The 21714-nt window shown below is 35.2% G+C and overlaps 1 protein-coding gene across 2 annotated transcripts in view; it reads right to left on the reverse strand.

Moving 5' to 3' along the window:
• Positions 1 to 21714, reverse strand: part of EDIL3 (EGF like repeats and discoidin domains 3) — a 444327-nt gene that overhangs the window by 271020 nt on the left and 151593 nt on the right. Inside the window, exon 3 of one of the 2 annotated variants that reach the window (NM_005711.5) lies at positions 18282 to 18311. The exons of the other annotated variant lie outside the window; for it this stretch is intronic. Within the exon in view, the coding sequence (NP_005702.3) occupies positions 18282 to 18311 (30 nt within the window). The remainder of the gene's footprint in view (positions 1 to 18281; positions 18312 to 21714) is intronic. 2 annotated transcript variants of the gene reach the window in all.

Here is a 21714-nt window from a genome sequence, read left to right on the forward strand (position 1 = left end):
GAGAAAAGACACAGACAAAAGCGGAGCAGGTGATGTGAAGACGGAGGCAGAAATTGCAGTGAAGTGGTCACAAGTCAATGAAGTCAAGGGATGCCCACAGCCAACACAAACTGAAAGAGACAAGGAAAAATTCTCTTCTAGAACCCTCAGAGAGAGCATGGCCTGGATTATGCCTTGACTTCAGACTTCTAGCCTCCAGAACTGTGAGAATTAAAAGAGTGTTGTTTTAAGCCACAGAGGTTGTGGAAACTTGTTAGAGCAGCCTCAGGAAACGAATATAGCTGTAGACAGTCAAAGTGATTAGAGGATGATATAAATCAGGAAATGTGACTGACATGACTGCAATTTGCACAAATCCAAGAGGGTATGGTGCCTACATAAGGATCCTACAACATAGTTTCCATATTTTGTATAATTGAAACTGCTGTGCTGTTTTGATTGCGTTCTCTCTCTCCCTTCCTCTCTCTCTCTCCACCCCCACTTTGCTCTCTTGCTCTCTATTGCTGTATGATCCCAAAGAGCATGATGTTATTTTTATGGGTATTTATCTACTGATACTATACAGGTATTGATCCCTCATTCTGTCTTCAGCATTGCTGGAAATGCAACACAAATGAACTAAGGAAAGGATCTTGAGATGGGATCATCCTAGATTACCCAGATGGGCCCTAAATCCCATAACAAGTGTCCTTCTAAGAAACAGGAGAAAAGACACAGATAAAAGTGGAGAGAAGGATGAGTCCAGTTGAGAATGAGTTCCTATTACCGGTGAAGAAACCATTCCAATTGCATCCAGTACATACTAAAGGAATTCAAATCCCTTTAGGGATAGAAATTACTGCTTCTCCAACCTCTGTTCTATTCCTTCTTTCATACTCACAGAAACATGATTTACTTGGAAGAAATTCGTGGAGATTCTGGGATCTCACAGAGAATGGAATCCTTCCCAGTCACTTCTCAGTTACCTACCACAGAAAAACATTCCTAACAGATACACAAGTGAGAATTGCAAAGTGAGAAATCAATACGGGTTACAGGAAACACAAGATCTAAGACCAGAGGTGTGTAAAAGGCTGGATACATTTTGGAGATCTGAAAGGGAAAGGAAAGCGTACTCTAGACAGACAAGCCTGGATTAAAGCTTTGGGGTGAGAATAAGCACAACATGTGTGACCTGGAATAGAGAAGACCGCCCTGCCTCCTAGAGAGAAGAAGCATGGATGTGATGGGATATTAAACCCAGGCACAGGTTTCATGGAGGGAAAGGAAAGAATGTCTTACGGGACCAGTTTTCATTGGTTCTCTCATTTCCAGAATAAGAATACAACTAAGTGTGAATTAATAGTTTTAACTCTTAACCTACCACTACCCACCAAAGAGTCAGAGAGCACTAGAGTCATTTGGTGAAACAAACAGAGAAGACTAAAAAAAAAAAAAAAAAATCACAGTCTGAAAATTCAAGTAACTTAAAAATATGCTAATCTTCCTCTTCTAACAGCTCTATAAATTCTCAGAAATTTTAAAAGTACGACAACTTGCTTGAGCATTCTGGCTACAGAATATCAGACTGGTGATTATCACTCTGTAGGAACTTAACATTGATCAGTATTTTCAGTGGTTTTTTTTTTTTGACGATCTTATAAATAAGACTTAGTATAACTAACTTATTGTGTTAAGATAGGCAAAGATGCAGAATGCTAAAATGTTTCTGGAAAAAAAAATCCCTAACCATTCTGTTTCTAATTTGTCTTATTTTAGTTTTGTTTTTCTTGGTAGCTGAGTACTTGCACAATTCCTCCCAACACACTTAAACACTAAATTATGAAATGAAATAGTTTCAAAGGTCCTCAGTCTTAAGCTGTCCTTTAAAGAACATCTCAAGCTTTGACAAAAACCATGGCCAATCTGTACAGTGGTTTTAATTCTTCGTTTTTACTATTGAGAAATGTATAGCTCATTCTTTTTCAAGAGCTTCTAGTAAAGCTTTAAAAGCAACCAATAATGTTGTAACATTTTAAATATTGGATTAAAACTCTAGATATTTTCTTATTTAGATTTATGTCTAGAGAAAGAAAAAACAGGTGAGTAGATATGAAACATATCTAAATCTTGTTGAATTCTAGCAGTTGAAGATCTGCTTCAAATAAATATATTTTCTTAAAAAAAGGTATCTCACAAGAACACTATACCCAGGTATGTTTTATTTTATTTTTAAGTATGTTACTTAAAGGTTTAAAAAATTCTGTCCACGTAATCTTGAAAATAAATTACTTGAAGATGTCTGTGAGCTTAATGAGACATGAATAACAATGCAATAATGAGGTAGTTATTGCATAAAGAAATTGCAGGTCCTTTCCTAATTCCTTGTGGACCTCAAACTTAGGAAGCCAAGTGGATTTGCAGGCTTGCCCCTTCCCCCTACATGACCAGTGCTGTCCTCTGAGCCACTGCCTCCCTTAACCTCTCCGAGTCTTTTACCCATACCCAGCATTAGATGATGGTGGTTATCATATTTGAGATGTCTTAAAATCACTGCTGTGGTTTCCTACCAGTTATTACTAACAATGGCTAAATCATTGCCACTGTTACAACACCACACTGAAAGAATTACTAAGCAAAAGTAATTTTCTTCTACTGCAACAAAAACAGAAAAACAAAGATCAATGTAATGGATTTTTTTCTGCCAAGGAATTTAAATAATACAACTGTCCCTCAGTATTTGTGGGGGATGGATTCCAGGAACCCTCAGGGAGATAAAAATCCTCAGATGTTCCAGTATCTTATATAAAATGGCATGATATTTGCATACAACCTATGTATAACCCCCGCCCCCCGCCACTTTACATCATCTCTAGGTTACTTCTAATACAGAATACAATGTAAACAGTTGTTATACTCTATTGTTTCTTATTAATATTTTGTATTACTTTATTGTCTTTCTTGTTCAAATATTTTCAATATCTGGTTGCTTGAATACCTAGATGTGAAACCTGTGGACAAGGAGAGTTGCCTGTAATTTACAGCATCTTTAATATTCTTATCAAATTATTGAGATTCTCCTTTTATTTATTTATTTCTTCTATTTGGAAATACATCTATCATCACCCCTCTCTTTGTATCATCCTATAAGGAAGAACTAAGTGTGGTTTGTTTTTTTTTTTAGAGACAGAGTCTTGCTATGTCACCCAGGCTGGAGTGCAGTGGTGCAATTTCGGCTTCACTGCAACCTCCACCTCCTGGGTTCAAGCAATTTTCCTGCTTCAGCCTCCCGAGTAGCTGGGACTACAGGCGCATGCTGCCACACCTGGCCAATTTTTTGTGTTTTAGTAGAGATGGAGTTTCACTGTGCTGCCCAGGGTGGTCTCGAACTTCTTGAGTTCAGGCAATCTGCCCACCGTGGCCTCCCAAAATGCCAGGATTATAGGCGTGAGCCACCGCACCCGGCCCTATGTGTGTTCTTGAATTAATAATGCAATAAAGTCAGCATAAAATCTGTATGGCTTAATATATTCATTAATTTGATCATACAACAAATATTTATGAAGCATCTACTATGTATCAAACACTTGTTCTAGAAGGAGGGGATTCAGTCGAGAACAAAATAGACAAAAAATATGCCAGCCCTTAGGAGTTTATATTTAGCCTGGACAGAAATAAATAAGCTACATAAGTAAGATGAGCAGATTTTTTTTTTTCTTGAGACGGAGTTTTGCTCTGTCGCCCAGGCTGGAGTGCAGTGGCACAATCTCGGCTCATTGCAAGATCCACCTCCCGGGTTCAGGCCATTCTCCTGCCTCAGCCTCCCGAGTAGCTGGGACTACAGGCGCCCGCCACCACACCTGGCTAATTTTTTGTATTTTAGTAGAGATGGGGCTTCACTGTGTTAGCCAGGATGGTCTCGATCTCCTGACCTCGTGATCCGCCCTCCTGGGCCTCCCAAAGTGCTGGGATTACAGGCGTGAGCCACCACGCCCAGTTAAGATGGGCAGATATTTTTAAAAAAATTAATAATATTAAAAATACGCAGGCAAAAGACTGACAAAGTGGAGAATGTGTGAACTTTTTAGAGACAAAGGAAGGCCTCTCTGAGAATGCACCTTCATGTGAAGACATGAAGGATGTGACTGAGTAGTCATGCAGACACATGCAAGGGAAGTCCTTCAGGCAATCCACCTGTGAGTGCCAAGCCCTGCCTGTAAGAACAATGTGTCCAGGGTTTATGTTTGTGTTTGCTTTATAGAAAAGGAAGGACAGGGTGGCAGCAGTAGAAACTGAAGCCAGAAGGGCAATGGTGGAAGTTGCAAAATATATAAAGTTTCTATCCTAATTTTAATGTAGGGCCAGATGAGAGGTACTAGAGGGCCTGGGCAGAAGAGTGATGGGCACTCACAGCCTTGTAAAAGAATTAGGCTGCCGGCTCTTTTGAGAAGAGACTGAAGAGGGGCCTGGAGTACCAGCAAATCCATGAGTGAGAAGATGCTGCCTTGGACTGTCTGATTACAGTTTGGATATATTTTTTAAATGAAGCTAAAAAGACCTGGTGGACTAAATGTAGAGATGGGTGTCATCAACATAGACCTTAATGATTTTGGTTTGAGCCATTGACAGGAAGCCTGTAAGAGGAGCTAGATTAAGGAAGAATATATATTTTTAATGCAAGTATGTAAAATGGATGAAGGCAGTCAGGGAGATTTTCATTTCCGATTCTATTCTTTTCCACAATGTTTATGTGATTCATAAACTACTGTAGTGATCAGAGAGGCATTTAAAATAATATATAAAGTTTTACACATATTAGAATGTACAATTTTATAATATATGCATAACAAAAAAGTTGAATAACTCTATATGACTTTTACAATTCCAAAAAATATATGACATTTAAAACTGTTTATAAGTGAATAAAAAGGCTGAGTTTGCTGCTGTAAGATAAGCACAAGTTTTTCCAGAGAAGCTTGAACTTGAATCCTGATTCTGTTACTTGCTTATTATGTAACCTTGTACACATTTCTTCATATACTTTAACATTTAGTGTTCTCCTCTTTAAATTATGTATATGCAGCATTTGGCAGTATTTGTTAATTGTGAAAATTAAGCAAAATACTCTACATAGAGGCCTCTGCATATTGACTGAATAAAAAAATCATAATCGAAATCACAATATTAATATGGCAAACAGCAAAGAGAATAATGAAAGTAAAAATAGCAGCTTAGATTTCCTGTGCAGTCCCTATTACAGGATGAGCAACATTGTGGTGAGCCCTTTACATGTATTGTTGAGTGCGATCTTTACAGCATACCTCTAAGGTAGGTGCCCTTATTGTCCCATTTCACAGAGGAGGAAAAGTTAACTTGTAGAAAGAAAATACTTCATAGGCAGTAGACAGCTAGTTATCGCAAGACAAAAGCCCCTGAAGTTCAGACCTGAAGGCCCATGGCATTTTATCTTATCCATCCTATCCAGAAAGTTGAATGCCTTCCCTGAGCCAGGAAATCTCCACAACAGTAAGTAAATACCTCTTCATACTCTTATAATATTTAACATTGGAGTAAATCCAAGGACAGCCAAAAAAAAAAAAAAAAATGACTCAGGCAAATGGAGATGGTCTTAAAGATGAATCCAGCTAATGCAGGGAGGATTAGAAATTAAAGAAACCTCTAAGTCTGCACAGATAGGGGCCAACATTAATTATGATTAAACATTGGAAATAATGTTCAATCTATTTTCTCTGAAATAGGTTCTTTGGTAAATAAAACAGTTTGTGTTTATATTTTTTCTGGTTCTCTGAGATAGTTAAATTTTACACGTCAATTTGACTAGGCTACGGTGCCCAACTTCTTGGTCAAATGCTAGTATAGATATTGCTGTGAACATATTTTGTCGATGTGATTAACATCTACAATCAGTTGACTTTAAGTAAAAAAGATGACCCTTGATAATAGAGTTGGGTCTCATCCAGTGAATTGAAAGCCTTAAGAGCAAAAACTGATTTCCCTGAGAAGAGGAGCCTCAAGAGTCTAACACAGAAATCCTCCCTGAATTTCCAGCCTCTTTGCCCTACACATTTTAGACTTGCCAGCACTCAAAATCACATAAGCCAATTCCTCAAAATAAATCTACTTACCCATCTATCTATTATACACACAAACACACACACACACACACACACACACACACACACACACACACATCCTTCTGGTTCTGTTTCTCTGGAGAACTGTAGAACCCTGAGAGATAAACTCTCCTTTTCTTTTTAAATCAGTTTCCATTTATATAATTTTATTCCCTTTAATAACCGTATTTTTATTACTTTTTTAACTTTGATGCTTTTCCAGTGCTTGGTGTTACTTTGGGTTTAATTTCTGGCTTGTCTCCTAACATTCTAAAGGTCAACAGCACACAATCTAAGTATTCATAATTCAAAATGAAAAGAAAATCATGAAATTTCAGAAGACATTTAATCAAAATTTGATTTACACCTCTAGGACTATCTTTCAACATTATAACAGAAGTTTTAAAAAGTTGAATTTCTAACGCTGTAGCAACATATAAACAAATATTAAGTCACTTTTTTTCCCCCAAGCTTAAAAATGTGACTAAATGTGAATGGTTATTCTCTAAAGATAAAATTTTGTGTTTTGGCTGTATGTCATTCTTATTTCTAATAAGATAATATCAACCTAACATACCTAATGACAGTATTTAATACTCTTAGGAATGTTCTAGGCAACGCAGTTTAACAATTTTGTCAGTTTTTAAAATGTGAGAGAGAAGGATTATAGTCAGCAGTTCCTCAGAAATAAGGCTGAGTAAATTTAGTTGTTCCTATAGAAACCAATCATTAAAGTTTAAAAAGAAAGGATCAGGGATGGAGGCAGAGCCAGGTGGCTGAATAGAAGCCTCCACCAATTGTCCTCCCTGCAAGAACACCAGACCGAACAACTATCCACACAACAAAGCAAACATCATAAGAACCAAAAATCAGCTTAGGTAGCAGCTCAGCCACAGTTGGGTAGAGCACCAAGCAGGCTCCTGAGAGCCCGATTCCAGGCCTTGGCTCTTGGACGGTGTTTCTTGACCTGTACTGGACCAGAGGGGAGACCGCTGCCCTGAAGGGAGAGTCCCAGGCCTGGCAGCACTCACCACAAGTTGATGACTCAAGGGCCCTGGGGCCTCGAATGAACATTGGCTGTAGCCAGGCAGTACTCACTGTGAGCCTGGGGCAGTGGTGGCCATGGGGAGAGAGTCCACTGGTTGTGGAAAGGGGAGGAAAGGGTGGGAAGGACTTTGTCTTGTGCCTTCTGTGCCAGCTCAGCCACAGCAGAAGAGAGTACCTCGGGACCAGGAGGGAATTTGCCACCCTGAAGCAAACGACACAAGCCTGGCTGGCTTTGTCACCTGCTGATTGTAGACCCCTAAGGCCTTTAGCAAACATACAAGGTAGCCAGGCAGTGGTTACTGTGGGCCTTGAGTGAGATCCAGTGCTGTGCTGGCTTCAGGTCTGACCCAGTGCTATCCCAGTGTTGGTGGCCACAGAGGTGCTTGTGTCACCCCCTCCCCCAGCTCCAGGCAGCTCAGAGCAGAGAGAGAGAGACTGCGTTTGTTTGGGAGAAAGTAGGGGAAGAGATCCTGAGAATTCTTCTGCATATTATCCAAGACCATACAAGTCAATAATGAGGGGAATTTTGGAAACTACACAAATACATGGAACTTAAACAAAATGCTCGTGAATGACTAGTGAGTCAGTGAAGAAATTAAGAAGGAAATTTAAAAAATTCTTGAGAAAAATGATAATGGCAAGTAGGTCTATGAAAAGGTGCTCATAGCATTGATCATCAGAGAAATGCAAATCAAAATTACAAAATATAGGCAATATTATTACAAATGCCAGTGAGGACGTGGAGGAAAGGCAACCCTTGTATTATACACTGTTGGTGGGAATGTATTTATCAGTACAACCACTATGGAAAACAATTTGGAGGTTCCTCAAAAAACTAAAATAGAACTACCAGATGATCCAGAAATCCCACTGCTAGGTATATACCCAAAGGAAAGGAAATCAGTATATCGAAGAGACAGCTGCACTCCCATGTTTATTGCAGCACAATTCACAATAGCCAAGATTTGGAAGCAAACTAAGTGTTCATCTACAGATGAATGGATTTTTAAAGTGTGGTACATATGGACAATGGAGTACTATTCAGTCATAAAAAAGAATGAGATCCTGTCATTTGCAATAACATGGATGGAGCTGGAGATCATTATGTTAAATGAAATAAGCCAGACACAGAAAGATAAACTTTGCATATTCTCACTTATTTACAGGAGCACTTATTTACGGAGATAGAGAGTAGAATGATGGTTACCAGAGGCTGAAAAGGGTAGTGCAGGGGGTAGTGGGGTGGGGAGTGGGGATGGTTAATGAGCATAAAAATATAGGTAGATAGAATGAATAAGATCTAAAGTTGGATAGCACAGCAGGGTAACTGCAGTCAACAATAATTTATTGTACATTTAAAAATAACTAAAAGAGTATAATTGGATCATTTCTAACACATAGGGTAAATGCTTGAGAAGATGGATACCCCACTTTCTGTGATGGGATTATTACACATTGTATGCCTGAATGAAAATATCTCATATGTGCCATGAATATATACACCTACTATGAACCCACTAAAATTAAAACTTAAAAGAAATAAAAGATCAGTTCAGTACAGACAGTGCACATCCAGTTTTGACAAACTTGAAAATATGTTTATACAGAACAGGATAAAATAAAGGCTATGGGGTAGTTGGGATTTTAAAAGTTACAACGCATGACAATGCACATATGAATATAAATTTTAGTATTATTGAGATGTACACCAAATTTAGTTCTCAATAATCACATTTTCAGGGTCTCATAGAAGTTTTTATAAAAATGGATGAAAAACATAGCAAAGTATAGAAAAATAACCATGAAGGTAGTTAAAGTGAAAAAGAGATGTTATGACCATGATTTCCAATTGATGATTGGTGACCTTCATTGATTGGTGACCTAGTATGCATTTCTTTGATTCTGTTCTTAAGGAGTACCCTCATTTTTGTTCATGTATCAACACCTTAGTCCCATAGCTCATAATCTTCAAAGAAAGCTAAAATAAATCTCATACTCCATGGGACAGTCTTGATTGGCTGAGTTTTTCAACAAAAACAGAAGGGATCTAAGTCTGTCCAGCCAGAGTGATCTTGGGACTCTTGCTTTGAAAGCATTTTTGTGCCCTCTCTGGTCATGCATAAGGATGCATATGGCCACAGTAGCTGTTGGCAGACATATTACAGCCATGGAGAAACCAGTGTTAATACTAAGATAAATTTTCGCCACAGAAGATAGAACAGAAATATTGGAAAGGAATAACAGAAACCAGACTTTTAGAAATATCATTGAGCCAACCATTCTCAACTCTGTGTGAGTTGTTATTTAATCTATATTTAAATGATATTTAATCTATATTAAATTGAATTTTCTGTTACCTAGAACTAAGGAATCAGGTCACAATACATAATAACTATTTTTGAATATATGTGTTGATAGATATTAACACATGCAACTGAAAACATAATGGTCTTAAGGCTGTACCATGAGAGATTAAAATTTTATTTAACAATAAGATTTTATTATTTTAATTGTTTATGCCAAGTCTGATTTTACAGTCTGGGGGCAAGATGATAGATTATACAACTACATTCATAGATATGTATGTCAAGATGTAAAGATATTATTTTTCACTCCTGTGATAGTTTAATTCTTAAACCTGTCTAAAGAGAAAGATGAGTATACAATTTTCCAAAGTGCCTACTGGCACCATGATCCTGTTCTACAGCAAAGTTTATTTTAGTAAAAATATGAAAAAACACATCCATATAACAGGAATTTAAATTACAATTATTTGTCTCACAGTTAAACATCACTATCACACACCTATCAAAAAGGAAGTTTAATTTTTAAAAAAAGGAAACGTAAGCACTATTTGGTCTTTCCACTAATGTCTTGGTAAACTGACCAAAGCCACATCTTTAGAAGCAGTGATTGTTTTTTCCCTGTTCCTCTGAGAATCTACAAATAATTACTTCTATCTCATTTTTAAATATTGTAGCATTTTTTTGGTTTTTATATATTAGGTTTTAATATTTGAGCCTGATTAAAGTATATTTATGAACAAGAATATACTCGATAAAACAATTAGTAAAGTTGCTCCAGGCACTAGAGGGAAAATATGTATTTATGTATAAAACAAGAGATAAATTTGTAGCAAATGTAAGGTAAACAAAAATGAGAATGTGAAGTTCTATTTCAGACCCCAAGGAAATAAAATACTAAAATCAGAATGCACAACCAACCCTTGTTCATTAGAAAATAATGTGATAAAATATCATTTATTTTCAAAATGCGTGAGTTATAGAATAAATTGAGCATAGTCAGCCATGCAGAATTAAACTCCACAAGAAAACAAGAAAGAAATCTAAAAGATATCTGTAGCATGGGTAAGAAAATAAAAAATTCACCATAAACAGAAATGATGTTTTTGTGTAACTAAAATTAAATATTTCAAAAGCTAGAGAAAATATCTAATTACTCTGTTTCCTGTATGTATACACAAAATACATATTTGTTTTATGAATGACTTTTAACTTGCTAATATAAAACCACAGCTTCAACTCTTTACTACTGCTAGCCCATATTCTATTATTAACCTTTGTATATGAAAATAGTATTTTTCTTAGGTGTACTTCTTCAATGTCAAAGCTAGTAATGTAAATGATTAAAATATTAAAAGATTTAAAGGGAACTGGTGAATGTATGGATGCATTGGTAAGCCAAATCACCATTTTCTTCTTCTCTATGGACATCACAGAGTTCATAATAAATATTTTATAAGCTATATGTCCAGTGACCTCTATCATCACTACCAGTTGGAATCAACTGATAAGAGGTCACATACACAGCTTTACATTTAAGTAAATTACAATAATTTTAACTTTATAAATATATGAAGAACAGTATGGCTTTTGTATTTTGATGTTTTAATATGATTGTCAAAAGGATTATCTTTTTGATATCCTAACATGTGTGAGATGCCATCTCATTATGGTTTTCATTGGAATTTCACTCAGTGATGTTGAGCACCTTATCATACATCTATTCGCCATTCTCATGTCTTCTAGAGAAATGTCTATTCAGGATCTTTGCCCTCTCTTTAATTGGTTTATTTAACTATTTGCGATTGACTCATATGAGTTACCTATATATTTCGGATATTAATCCCTTACAAGATTTATGGTTGGCAAATATCTTCTCACAATCTGCAGGCCATCATTTCATTTTCTTGATTGTTTCCTTTGTTGTGCAGAAGCTTTTTAGACTGATGTGGCCCCACTTGTTTATTTTTGCTTTTGATACCTGAGCTTTTGCTGTGACATCCAAAAAATCATAGTCAAGGGGGTATTCCTCTACATTTTTTTCTTCTAGGAGTTTTATGGTTTCAGAGCTTATGTTTAAGTTTTCAATCTATTTTGAGTTCATTTTTATATGTTATATAAGACAAGGTCCAGGGAATCTTTGAACACTCTTTGTGGGAATGTAATCTGGTGCAGCCATTATGGAAAATAGTATGGAAGTTCCTCAAAAAAAATTAAAAGTCTAATAACTATATGACCTAGCAACCCCTCTTTTCAGTATATGCCCAGATGAAATAATATCATACAGATATCTGCACTCCCATGTTCACTGCAGCATTATTTACAGGAACCAACTTTTAATCAACCTGAGTGTCCATTGATTAATTAATAGATAAGAAACTTATATAATGGAATATTATTAAGCCTTATAAAAGAAGGAGATTCTGTCATTTGTGACAATGTGGATGAACCCGGAGGAATTATGCAAAGTTTAAAAAGCCAGACACAGAAAGAAGAATACTGAATGATCTCACTTACATATGAAATCTAAAACAATAAAATTTGAATACATAGAAATAGAGCAGAATAGTGGTTACTGGGGTGGGTGTAAGGAATGGGGGAAATATAAGTCAAATGGTACAAAGTTCTTATGTAGGATGAATAAGCCTGGAGATCTAATGTACAGTATGAGTACTATGGCAATAATATTGTATTACGTAATAGAAATTTGCTGAGAGAGTAGATTGTCAGTGCTCTTACCACACACATGAAGATAACAATATGAGGTGATGGATATGTAAATCTATCTGACTATAGTAATCATTTTACTATATATATGTATTTAACACATCACATTGTATACCTTAAATTTATACAAAAAAGAACAAAATATTTTTACCATTTACATATATCTGAAAAATCCCTTTTTAATATTTTCATTATTATATGAGTTAATCTAATATTAATAGCTACTTATATAGAAATCCAAACTCAGTTCCACTTGTAGTATTAAAAAAAATGACAAAGTAATTAAAAACCTCCTCTTAGGCAAGAGAAGGAAAAAATAAAATGAAAGCTTTATATTTGAGGTGATATGAACAAAACAATAAGTTACGGTTGTAGTTCATTTTAACCAGCGACTTATTGTATAGCTGCAAGATCTCTACTGTATCATTTTCTAAGTGATTTTGGTCCCATCCACTAATTTCAGATTCCCAGCCCTGTATTAAATGATTTCCTTGAGGAATGAATGAATGATTTCCTTGTGATAAATGAATATTTCTAAATATCTAAAATTATAGCTAATAAGACCAAATAAACTAAAAGCAATGAGGAAATTGTGAGAATAAACTTGATTTGCTACACCTTATAGTTAAATTATATTTTATATGGATTAGTTTATTTTTAGCAGTCAATATTCAAATTTATATGTCTTTTTTTTCCAAGGGACATAGAAATAAGTATTGTTATAGTCAGTTTATGAAGTATCTATTATGAAACTTAAATAAAAGCTAAATGAAAATTGGATTTGTGCAACATAAGGAAAGCAATCACTGACAACTTTGTTAAAAGGTGTTATTTGATTTTACCTTTCAAAAATACATATCATATGTTCAGGTGAATGTTGTTAATTTCAAAGTTGTAATCTTATCTGTATTTCATACCCCCTCACATTCTTCATATTTGCAAAGCTTTGTTTTTAAAGGCATATATATTAGACCAAAGTCAGATAAATATAGTAGCACAGTTCAGAGACTATAATAGTTTATATTGTAATCCCATAAGCAGATTCAGAAGGAAGTTTCAAAAAAATAGTTTCCAAAAATTATTTGTGCAATATCAACATACTTAGATTAAATATATCACTTCTAAAAGTGATTCATTTTGGGGTACAGTATCTGCTTTAAAAATGTGAATCTCATTAGTTTGTAATTAGATCTTAAAATATAACTCAGCTTGAAGAAATTTCTCTATAGTTCATTGATGTGTTTTTATACTCAATAAAACAAGATGTTTAAATATCTGAATTTAAGATTCAAGTAGGATAAATAAAAAGAAGCTTCTGGTAGCTAAAGAAGCAGGTGTTAACTGAATCTACCCTGATAACTCAGATGTTATGAAATATGGTCTTTTAGGCTAATACATCCTACCAGAACATTCAGAACTGAAAGTGATTAACAAGCCAATGCTTCCCAATCAATAAGGGGATGCATGCCTACTATTAGAAATGCAGATAAGATGTATCATGCATCCCCTCTACGAGTCAACATTTTAAAACACTTATTAAGAACTTGCTATTTGCAAGGCAATTTAGAAGTTCGAATAAAAGAATGTGGGTACGTATGAAGAAATAACCAAAGACAGAATGTGATTGTCTAAAGTATAAGAATATTTTCATTCTGACATTTATTTTATTAAATATAATCTCAGTTACATGGGAACAAAGTGGAGGGATCACTTATCTGTTTTAACGAGGCAGTTTTTCAATAATTCAAAATATAAGGCAAATCAATTGTATTCCATTGTAAAGAAAAAAATCCATATTATTTTGTAGCATTATAACACAAGTAAAACACTATCTAATGTCTCCCTAATTTTCTCGTTTATTATTTGTCTTCCTGATTTTTTTCATTCTATATGTTATTGAAGATAAACATCTATTATTTACTTTAAAAATAGTTCTAAACAATGAGAATAGATCATAACTATTGAATTATAATCGACCCAACTCTGTGTGCCTATAGAATTAAAACAACCTAGATTTGTCATACAATATCAATACATTAAAAATGTTTACTAAATAGTATGAGTGGTAATATCCACTAGGAACTTACATTTTTAGATAAGTCATGTATAGATTTGTTCAAAAAATTATGCTTTTAAAATTCAAAATTCATACATTAACAACTATTAATCAGGATGCTGTGATTTTTGGCAGTAAAAAACGCTATTTATTGTATTATTTATTCTATTACTTTACTTTGAGAAGTGGCTTATCTCCAATTAGAAAAATAAATATTTAATTTAAAGAAATTAACATATATATTTGAAGAAGACACTGTCCAATCTGGAAGAGTATGAACCTGGTAAAGATATTATATGGGGATATGTGAAAGCTGAATTAACGTACATTTTTTTCTGGCAAACAAAAGATTTCATTTCACTGATAACTGAAACAAAATGGTGAAATAACAGGAAAGAGACATAAGTTAAAAGAGGACCACAAAAATAAATCTCAGCTTGGAAAATACCATTCTGCATCAATTCTATTGGTGAAAGGAGATGAGAGTGAAAACAGAATATTAATGCTGTAATAAACAAACATGAATAACAGCTATAAATTAAAGATATATATCTGATATATATGATTACTGAAAAATATAAGTGAACAGGATAATAACTATTCCTTTAAAAAATTAAGTGTTGAAAAATTCAGGGCAAGAGATACTAAAATGAACTCAAAAATCTCAATCCAATTTTCATAATTATTCGTATTCCTTATGAAATCAATTATTTGCAAATCTGATAATATTTTGCCAAATGTTTTAATTTACTCTTTTTATTATATAGGTTGATAAAATTAAAAGGAAAACATTTGTTTCCCATTGTCTGCTTTTTATACAAAAGGAGTGTCTACTTTACTAAATGACACATTTTCTCAATGTTAATATAATCCATATGTGAAATTATGTAGCTAAATATTCCTTAAGAGCACATTTGTTCTATTTTAAAAATCTATGCTAAAATCACAACAAAAACATCTGCTCATATCTAGAAATGAAAGTATTTTTAAAACATAATTTAAATTCTATGATGTGCACATCACTCTGGAGGAAGATGAGTATTTTGAAGAAAAAATGTTCAGTTGCATTTCACAAAAAGGCCTTCTTAGTGAGGAGAGAAGTTATGAAAATAGATTTAGAATAAGAAAAGTACACAAGTAGCTATATTATACTTAAATATAGCATACACTGGGTTACAATTCATTTTCTTCGTACAAAACAATAATTTTGCTAAAGCACCAACACTGCTTGGCAGATGACTTAGTAAGGTGTGGGCAGCAGACAGGAGAAATGAAAATGAATTGGGCTAGAAAATGATGGCTGCTGTCAAGGATTGACACCCAGAGAGAAAGTCCAATTAAAGTTAAGAAATATGGACAGAAGAAGTCCTAGCCAGAGAAGTCTAACATCCAGAATCTATAAGGAACTTAAATCAACAAGGAAAAAAACAACCCCAGTAAAAATTGGGCAAAGGACATGGACAGACACTTATCAAAAGAAGATATACAAGAAGCCAACAAGCATGTGAAAAAAATGCTCATCATCACTTAACAGAGAAATTCAAATCAAAAACCACAATGAGATACCATCTCACACCAGTCAGATACTATTAAAAAATCAAAAAACAACAGATGCTGGCAAGGCTGTGGAGAAAAGGGAACACTTACTCACTGTTGGTGGGAATGTAAACTAGTTCAGCCACTATAGAAGGCAGTTTGGAGATTTCCCAAAGAACTTAAAACAGAGCTACTGTAAGATCCAGCAATCCCATTACTGGGTATGTACTCAAAGGAAGACAGATCATTATACCAACAAGACACATGCACTCATAAGTTCATTGCTGCACTATTCACAATAGCAAAAACATGGAATCAAATTATGTGCTAATGGTGGATTGGATAAAGAAAATGTAGTACATATAAACTACAGAATAATATACAGTCATGAAAAAGAATGAAATTATATGCCTCTTAGCAACATGGATGGAGCTGGAGGCCATGATTCAAAAATTAATGCAGGATCAGAATACTAAATACTACACATTCTCACTTACAAGTGGTAGCTAAACATTGAGCACACATGGATGTAAACCTGGGAACAATAAACACTGCAGACTACTAGAGAGTGGAGGAGAGGAAGAGGGTGTAGGTTGAAAATCTACCTATTGGATACTATCCTCCCTACCTGGATGCAATATACCCATGTAACCAACCTGCACATGTGCCCCCTGTAACTAAAGTAAAAGTTAAATTAAGAATAATAAAGAAATCCAGTGTGTATTTTATACTTACATTACATTTCAATTTGGAATAGTGGAGTGTTCAATAGCCCATGTAGCTAGTGGCTGCCCTATTGGACAACACAGGCCTGGAGTTTTTCTGGAAGAGGCCTCAAAAAAAAAGTTAACAGGGGTTGCTTCTCAGGAAGAGAACTAAGAGACTAGGGGTAAAAAGAGATAGCAACCTTACTTTTAACCACAAACCCTTCTGTATTGCTTGAATTATGTGTCAAGTATATGGGTTGTCTGTATAGAAAAAATACACCACAATAGACAGACATACAGACAGAGTCTTTGGGCAACACTATCAACAGCAAAGCTTCAAAGTCAGGGCAAACAGAAAGCAGAAACTAGGCAGAGGAAACTCACAAACAGATGAGTTTGCTATTGAGTCATGTGATTAGGCTGGTCCTAAAACAGGCTACACAATACTGCCTAGAGTGGGAGAAATATGATAGGAGTTCCTATCCTAATCAGGCTATAGACTATCTAACAATATTATGAAAATGAAACATCAATTGAGGGTTTGTCTGAATGTCTGATTCCATTTCAAAGGCAGTTTATAGTTATAATGAGTATCATGCAACATGACATTTATATATCCTTGGAATTTATCAAAGAAATGTAAGATATTTATTTTGTTTTCTTCCACTGAAACTTTGATCTTTTGAATTTACTCCTACAGGTAAAATCCTTGTCCAGTTTTGCACAGAGATAGAAGCCATGAAGCCAGGCTAGTTGAAGTAAGTCAGGCCTATGAATTGAACTGACCCTATCTTGTATATGAGTTTCAATAACTGGGCTACTTTCCCTCCTTCCATATAAGCAAGCACCATTCTGACCATTAATTTCAGGAGCCCTTTCCTGCTCTTGTCTCTCAGGCCTAAATCCTTTTCTCAGTTACTAAAAAGAATCCATCTAATGCCGAGGTCTTTTCTCTTCAGACCAACCACTAACTGCCTACCTCTCAGGACTTGACTCTATTTTTTTTTCTGATGTTGCTGGTATGTTAGTCTGGTCTTTTATTAATTAATCAAGTGAGCTTTTTCTTCCCATTATATTCTTATAATTGTGTCTGGTCTTTAGTCTCTCTGGCATTTCTCTGACCTCTCTCACTGTCCTGGAACCATGTGGAAAATACCATGCCATCTCTAACATTTGCATTCTTCATTGCACATGGTTCAGGCCACAGCCTGTGTTTGATAAATACTAATTAGCTGGATAAGGAACTAAGTCATGATGCCAAGTTGCAGGATTATTAAATTATAATTGTAAAAATTACATTTTTAAAATAAAATGAGTGAGGCAGACACAGTACCCTTAAGCCTAGTGAATATGATGTTTGATGCTAGTTATACATGTGATAGTGCTGTATGCTCTCATGAAAGGTATTTCTGAAAGTTTATTTTACCATTTTCCTCCTTTTTAATCTTAATTTTATCATTCATTCTCCTCACTGTATTATTTTTCTGTATTTTTCTCAATGTTCTCATTTTCCAATTTTCCTTATTCTTTAATGTCAATGTGCTATTTTGTATTGTATTTTCCTCTGTATTAGTTCGTTTCAAGACTTTTCTCCTTTTATTCAAAACTCTTAACCAACATCATTTAGTCTGGCACAGCATAGTGAGCTCAGCAAATATAAAAGTAAATAAATAAACAAACCTGTGCCAATTTTCTGGTTGAAATCTGAAAAAATATTACTCAAAAGGTTGACTCTCTATTATTAAAGGCATGACATTAAATAAGAATTATGTTTACAACATAGGAACTTTACCTGCTGAAGTTGGTTCTTCTTCATCTGATGCTATGATAAGAGGAAAAGGTGAAATGGGGGTGGGGTAGAAGTGAAGGGAGGGAGAAGGGGGGAGAGAGAAAGAAAGAGAAAAAGAGATATTGAGATTGAACATAAATATATTTCACATTTCCAAACACTAACTACAAGCCCCTGACTTGTAATTTTGTGTATACATTAGAAAATTGTCATGATTTAATAACAGATTAATGAGTATTCACATTAAATAAAAACATATGTGCTCCTATACTTTAAAATATCTATTAATATTTGTTAGAAAAAAATTGAATTGTCTGAATTTGATTTTCCTTTGCAAATAAGATTAACCTTAGTTAATTTGAGTATAAATTATTATAAATATTGCTGCTGAAAAATATGGATTGTATATAACATAGAGCTACCCCACCATCAATTTTCTATTTGGCAAAGAGGAATTAAAAGTCATGGCTGATGGTCAAAAATTGTGTTCCATGAGATAGAAGTTATAAGAAAGGAAGAATTAAACTTCAGGGTGACTCAAAATCACTTTGGACTTTTCTTTTTTTTTTTTTTTAGATGGAGTTTCACTCTTGTTGCCCAGGCTGGAGTGCAATGGCACAATCTCGGCTCACTGCAACCTCCGCCTCCTGGGTTCAAGCAATTCTCCTGTCTCAGCCTCCTGAGTAGCTGGGATTACAGGCATGTACCACCACACCTGGCTAATGTTGTACTTTTAGTAGAGATGGAGTTTCTCCATGTTGGTCAGGCTGGTCTTGAACTCCTGACCTCAGGTGATCCGCCTGCCTGGGCCTCCCAAAGTGCTGGGATTACAGGCATGAGCCACCGAACCCGGCCTGGACTTTTCTTAAACATGAAGATTCCAGTTCTCTCTCTCTCTCTCCCACTACGTGATGTGTGTGTGTGTGTGTGTGTGTGTGTGTGTGTGTGACATACACACACTTACATATACCACACACTTCAAAATTTAGTAGTGATGATTCTGTGGTAAGGACACCGGAACCTGCATTTTAAAGAGTGACCCCAGGTGGTTCTGACTTATGTTCTGCAACCCACATATGGATACACATAGACATTATAAAAGAGGAGGCCACAATACGAAAATACAATTTTATCCTTGGGTAGTGGTTACCAACCCTGTAAGTATATTAGAATTCCAAATTCTGGGCTCCACATAGAACCAATTAAGTCAGAATCTTTACATGGTATTAACTTGTAGCCAGGATTGAGGTATTACTAGGCAATATCAATGTAAGATAACATTAACTGTAACTCATACAAGTGTGAATCTTGTTGATTCCTGTTTTAAGAGGTAGGAAGGTTTGAGAGCAGCAAGATTCCAAGGGCAATAACCTACTGCCCTGTGTATGTGGAGGATGGAGCACAGCAATTACAAGAGTGAAAAAGAAGTTTGTCTGAAGCAGCTTCACAATTTTGCCTAGAATCCATCTATTCACTTTTATACTTCAACACACACTCTGTGAAGAAGTATTTCTGCTCTGTACAGAACTGCAGTTTACCCAGAATATTACCGTTGAATTATATGACACAAGCCAGTCCTATTTCACTTGATTCATGAAGTTTTAAAATAAAAATTTACTCAGCTGAATTGCTTATAAAGGAACTTTGTTCCCAGCGGATTCGTTAATCAAGGTATCACTGTGTAGCCAGGGAGTGGTCTCCACTCTTTTCCGTTAAGGTTACATCTGCGCAGAGTACACATTAGACAAGCTGACTTTGTGTCCTGACAGTGTTTTCTTCTCACACTGTTTGGCTCGCCTCCTTGGCACATAAAGAAATGGAGAGAGCAAACACAGTTGGCATGCATGGCGCAGAGAACATAAATATTTTAAAAGCTGTTTGCCGCTTTATCATGTCCAAAATATATCATAACATGTTCAAAGAGGAAAAAAAATGGTAGCTTCCAGGAATTCCCTTTTAGGAAAATACCACAGGGGCTTGCAGAAGTGCTGACTTAGATGAGTTATTGTTAACAAAATCTAGAGATTCAAAAGAAAAAAAATCCTTACACTTATGGCTGGTCACTTTATGTGTATGAACTCATTTAATTCACAAAGCAACCAATGAGATGAAAATATTTCTCATTTGATAAAAGAAAGTACAGAGGTTCAGAGTGACTGAACAATCTGTGTGAGTTCAATTTGAATTTGAGCTCATGTCAGTGTGACTTTAAAACTGAACTTCTTCTGCTGTGCCTTATTGTATCACAAAGTGCTGATTCCGTTTCTACTTAAAGATAAAAACTAGACGGCAGAGTTTACCGAAATTCACTAGGTACTATTTAAAGTGTTGGGTCATGGGAGTAGTTATGCTCCTAATAATGTTAGCTGGACTTAAGCATAAAACTGGGGGAGAAAAGAAAGAAAAATTGATACAGAGGCTGAGGAGAGAAATCCTTTCAAGAAATGGAGTTCTTTGGAAGCTTCTCCATTTCCCTTACAATCCAGGGACAGACATAGGCAGCTGAGATCCTGACTGGTTAAACAAAGCACCCTAAAGAAGTGATGTCTAAGAAGGAAGACTGGAAGTTGCTAAGATTTTACTTTTCCATTATGTAAGAACAAGCAAGAAATTTTAGGAAGGAATTAGCAAGTACAGAAATGAAGACAATTCCAAATTTAGTAAGAGTCATAGTAATCAGAACCTTTGAAAAAGCAAATCCCACAGGGCAAGCTGTGCACCAATCTACACTTGAATTTGCAATACCTGAAAGTATCTTTGTTACAAATTAACAGAATTACAGCCAGCAAATACACAACTTTGCAAAGATTTCTCTATGTAACATCTACATAGCAGTGCTTCCTTGATATGGGTAGATGTCATTAACCAATATTCATACTATTCACACTCATGAAGGCATATACACAAGGGTTACTATTGGTAATAATCCAGCTTTAGTTATCTCTGTAACAAAGGCAGCATTTCAGGCTAACTGCTTTACTGAACAAAACATCATCAACTATTAACAGGTGGCAACTAGAGCCCCAGAGTAAAAATAAACCTCAAAGTGGGCATTAGTTGCCTTATTAATGACATTTCTGCGAAACAAGTATCACAGAAGGTACTATCATGCTACCCAAATGATTATTCTCTCTTCCTCTCAGAAGTCATAAAATCAGCAATTAAAATAAAAATCAGAGTCTATGGCACATGTAGTCTCTTCTAATTCTGGGAATTTAAACACATTCACCAAGAAAACCAAAAATAAGCAACCCAACAAATAAGTGTATTGCTCCACTTGGTCAGCATTTAGAAGAATGTACTGAAATTATAATGATGGTAGGAAAACAGAGGTAAAAAAATATATCAGACATATAGAATTTAAGTAAGTGTAATCCTCCTATCACCCATAACAGAATCTTCCTGGGTGTCTGTTAAAATGCCCCACACCTACTGA

The sequence above is a fragment of the Homo sapiens genome, chromosome 5 (genome assembly GCF_000001405.40).
Source record: "Homo sapiens chromosome 5, GRCh38.p14 Primary Assembly".
Lineage (NCBI taxonomy): Eukaryota > Metazoa > Chordata > Mammalia > Primates > Hominidae > Homo > Homo sapiens.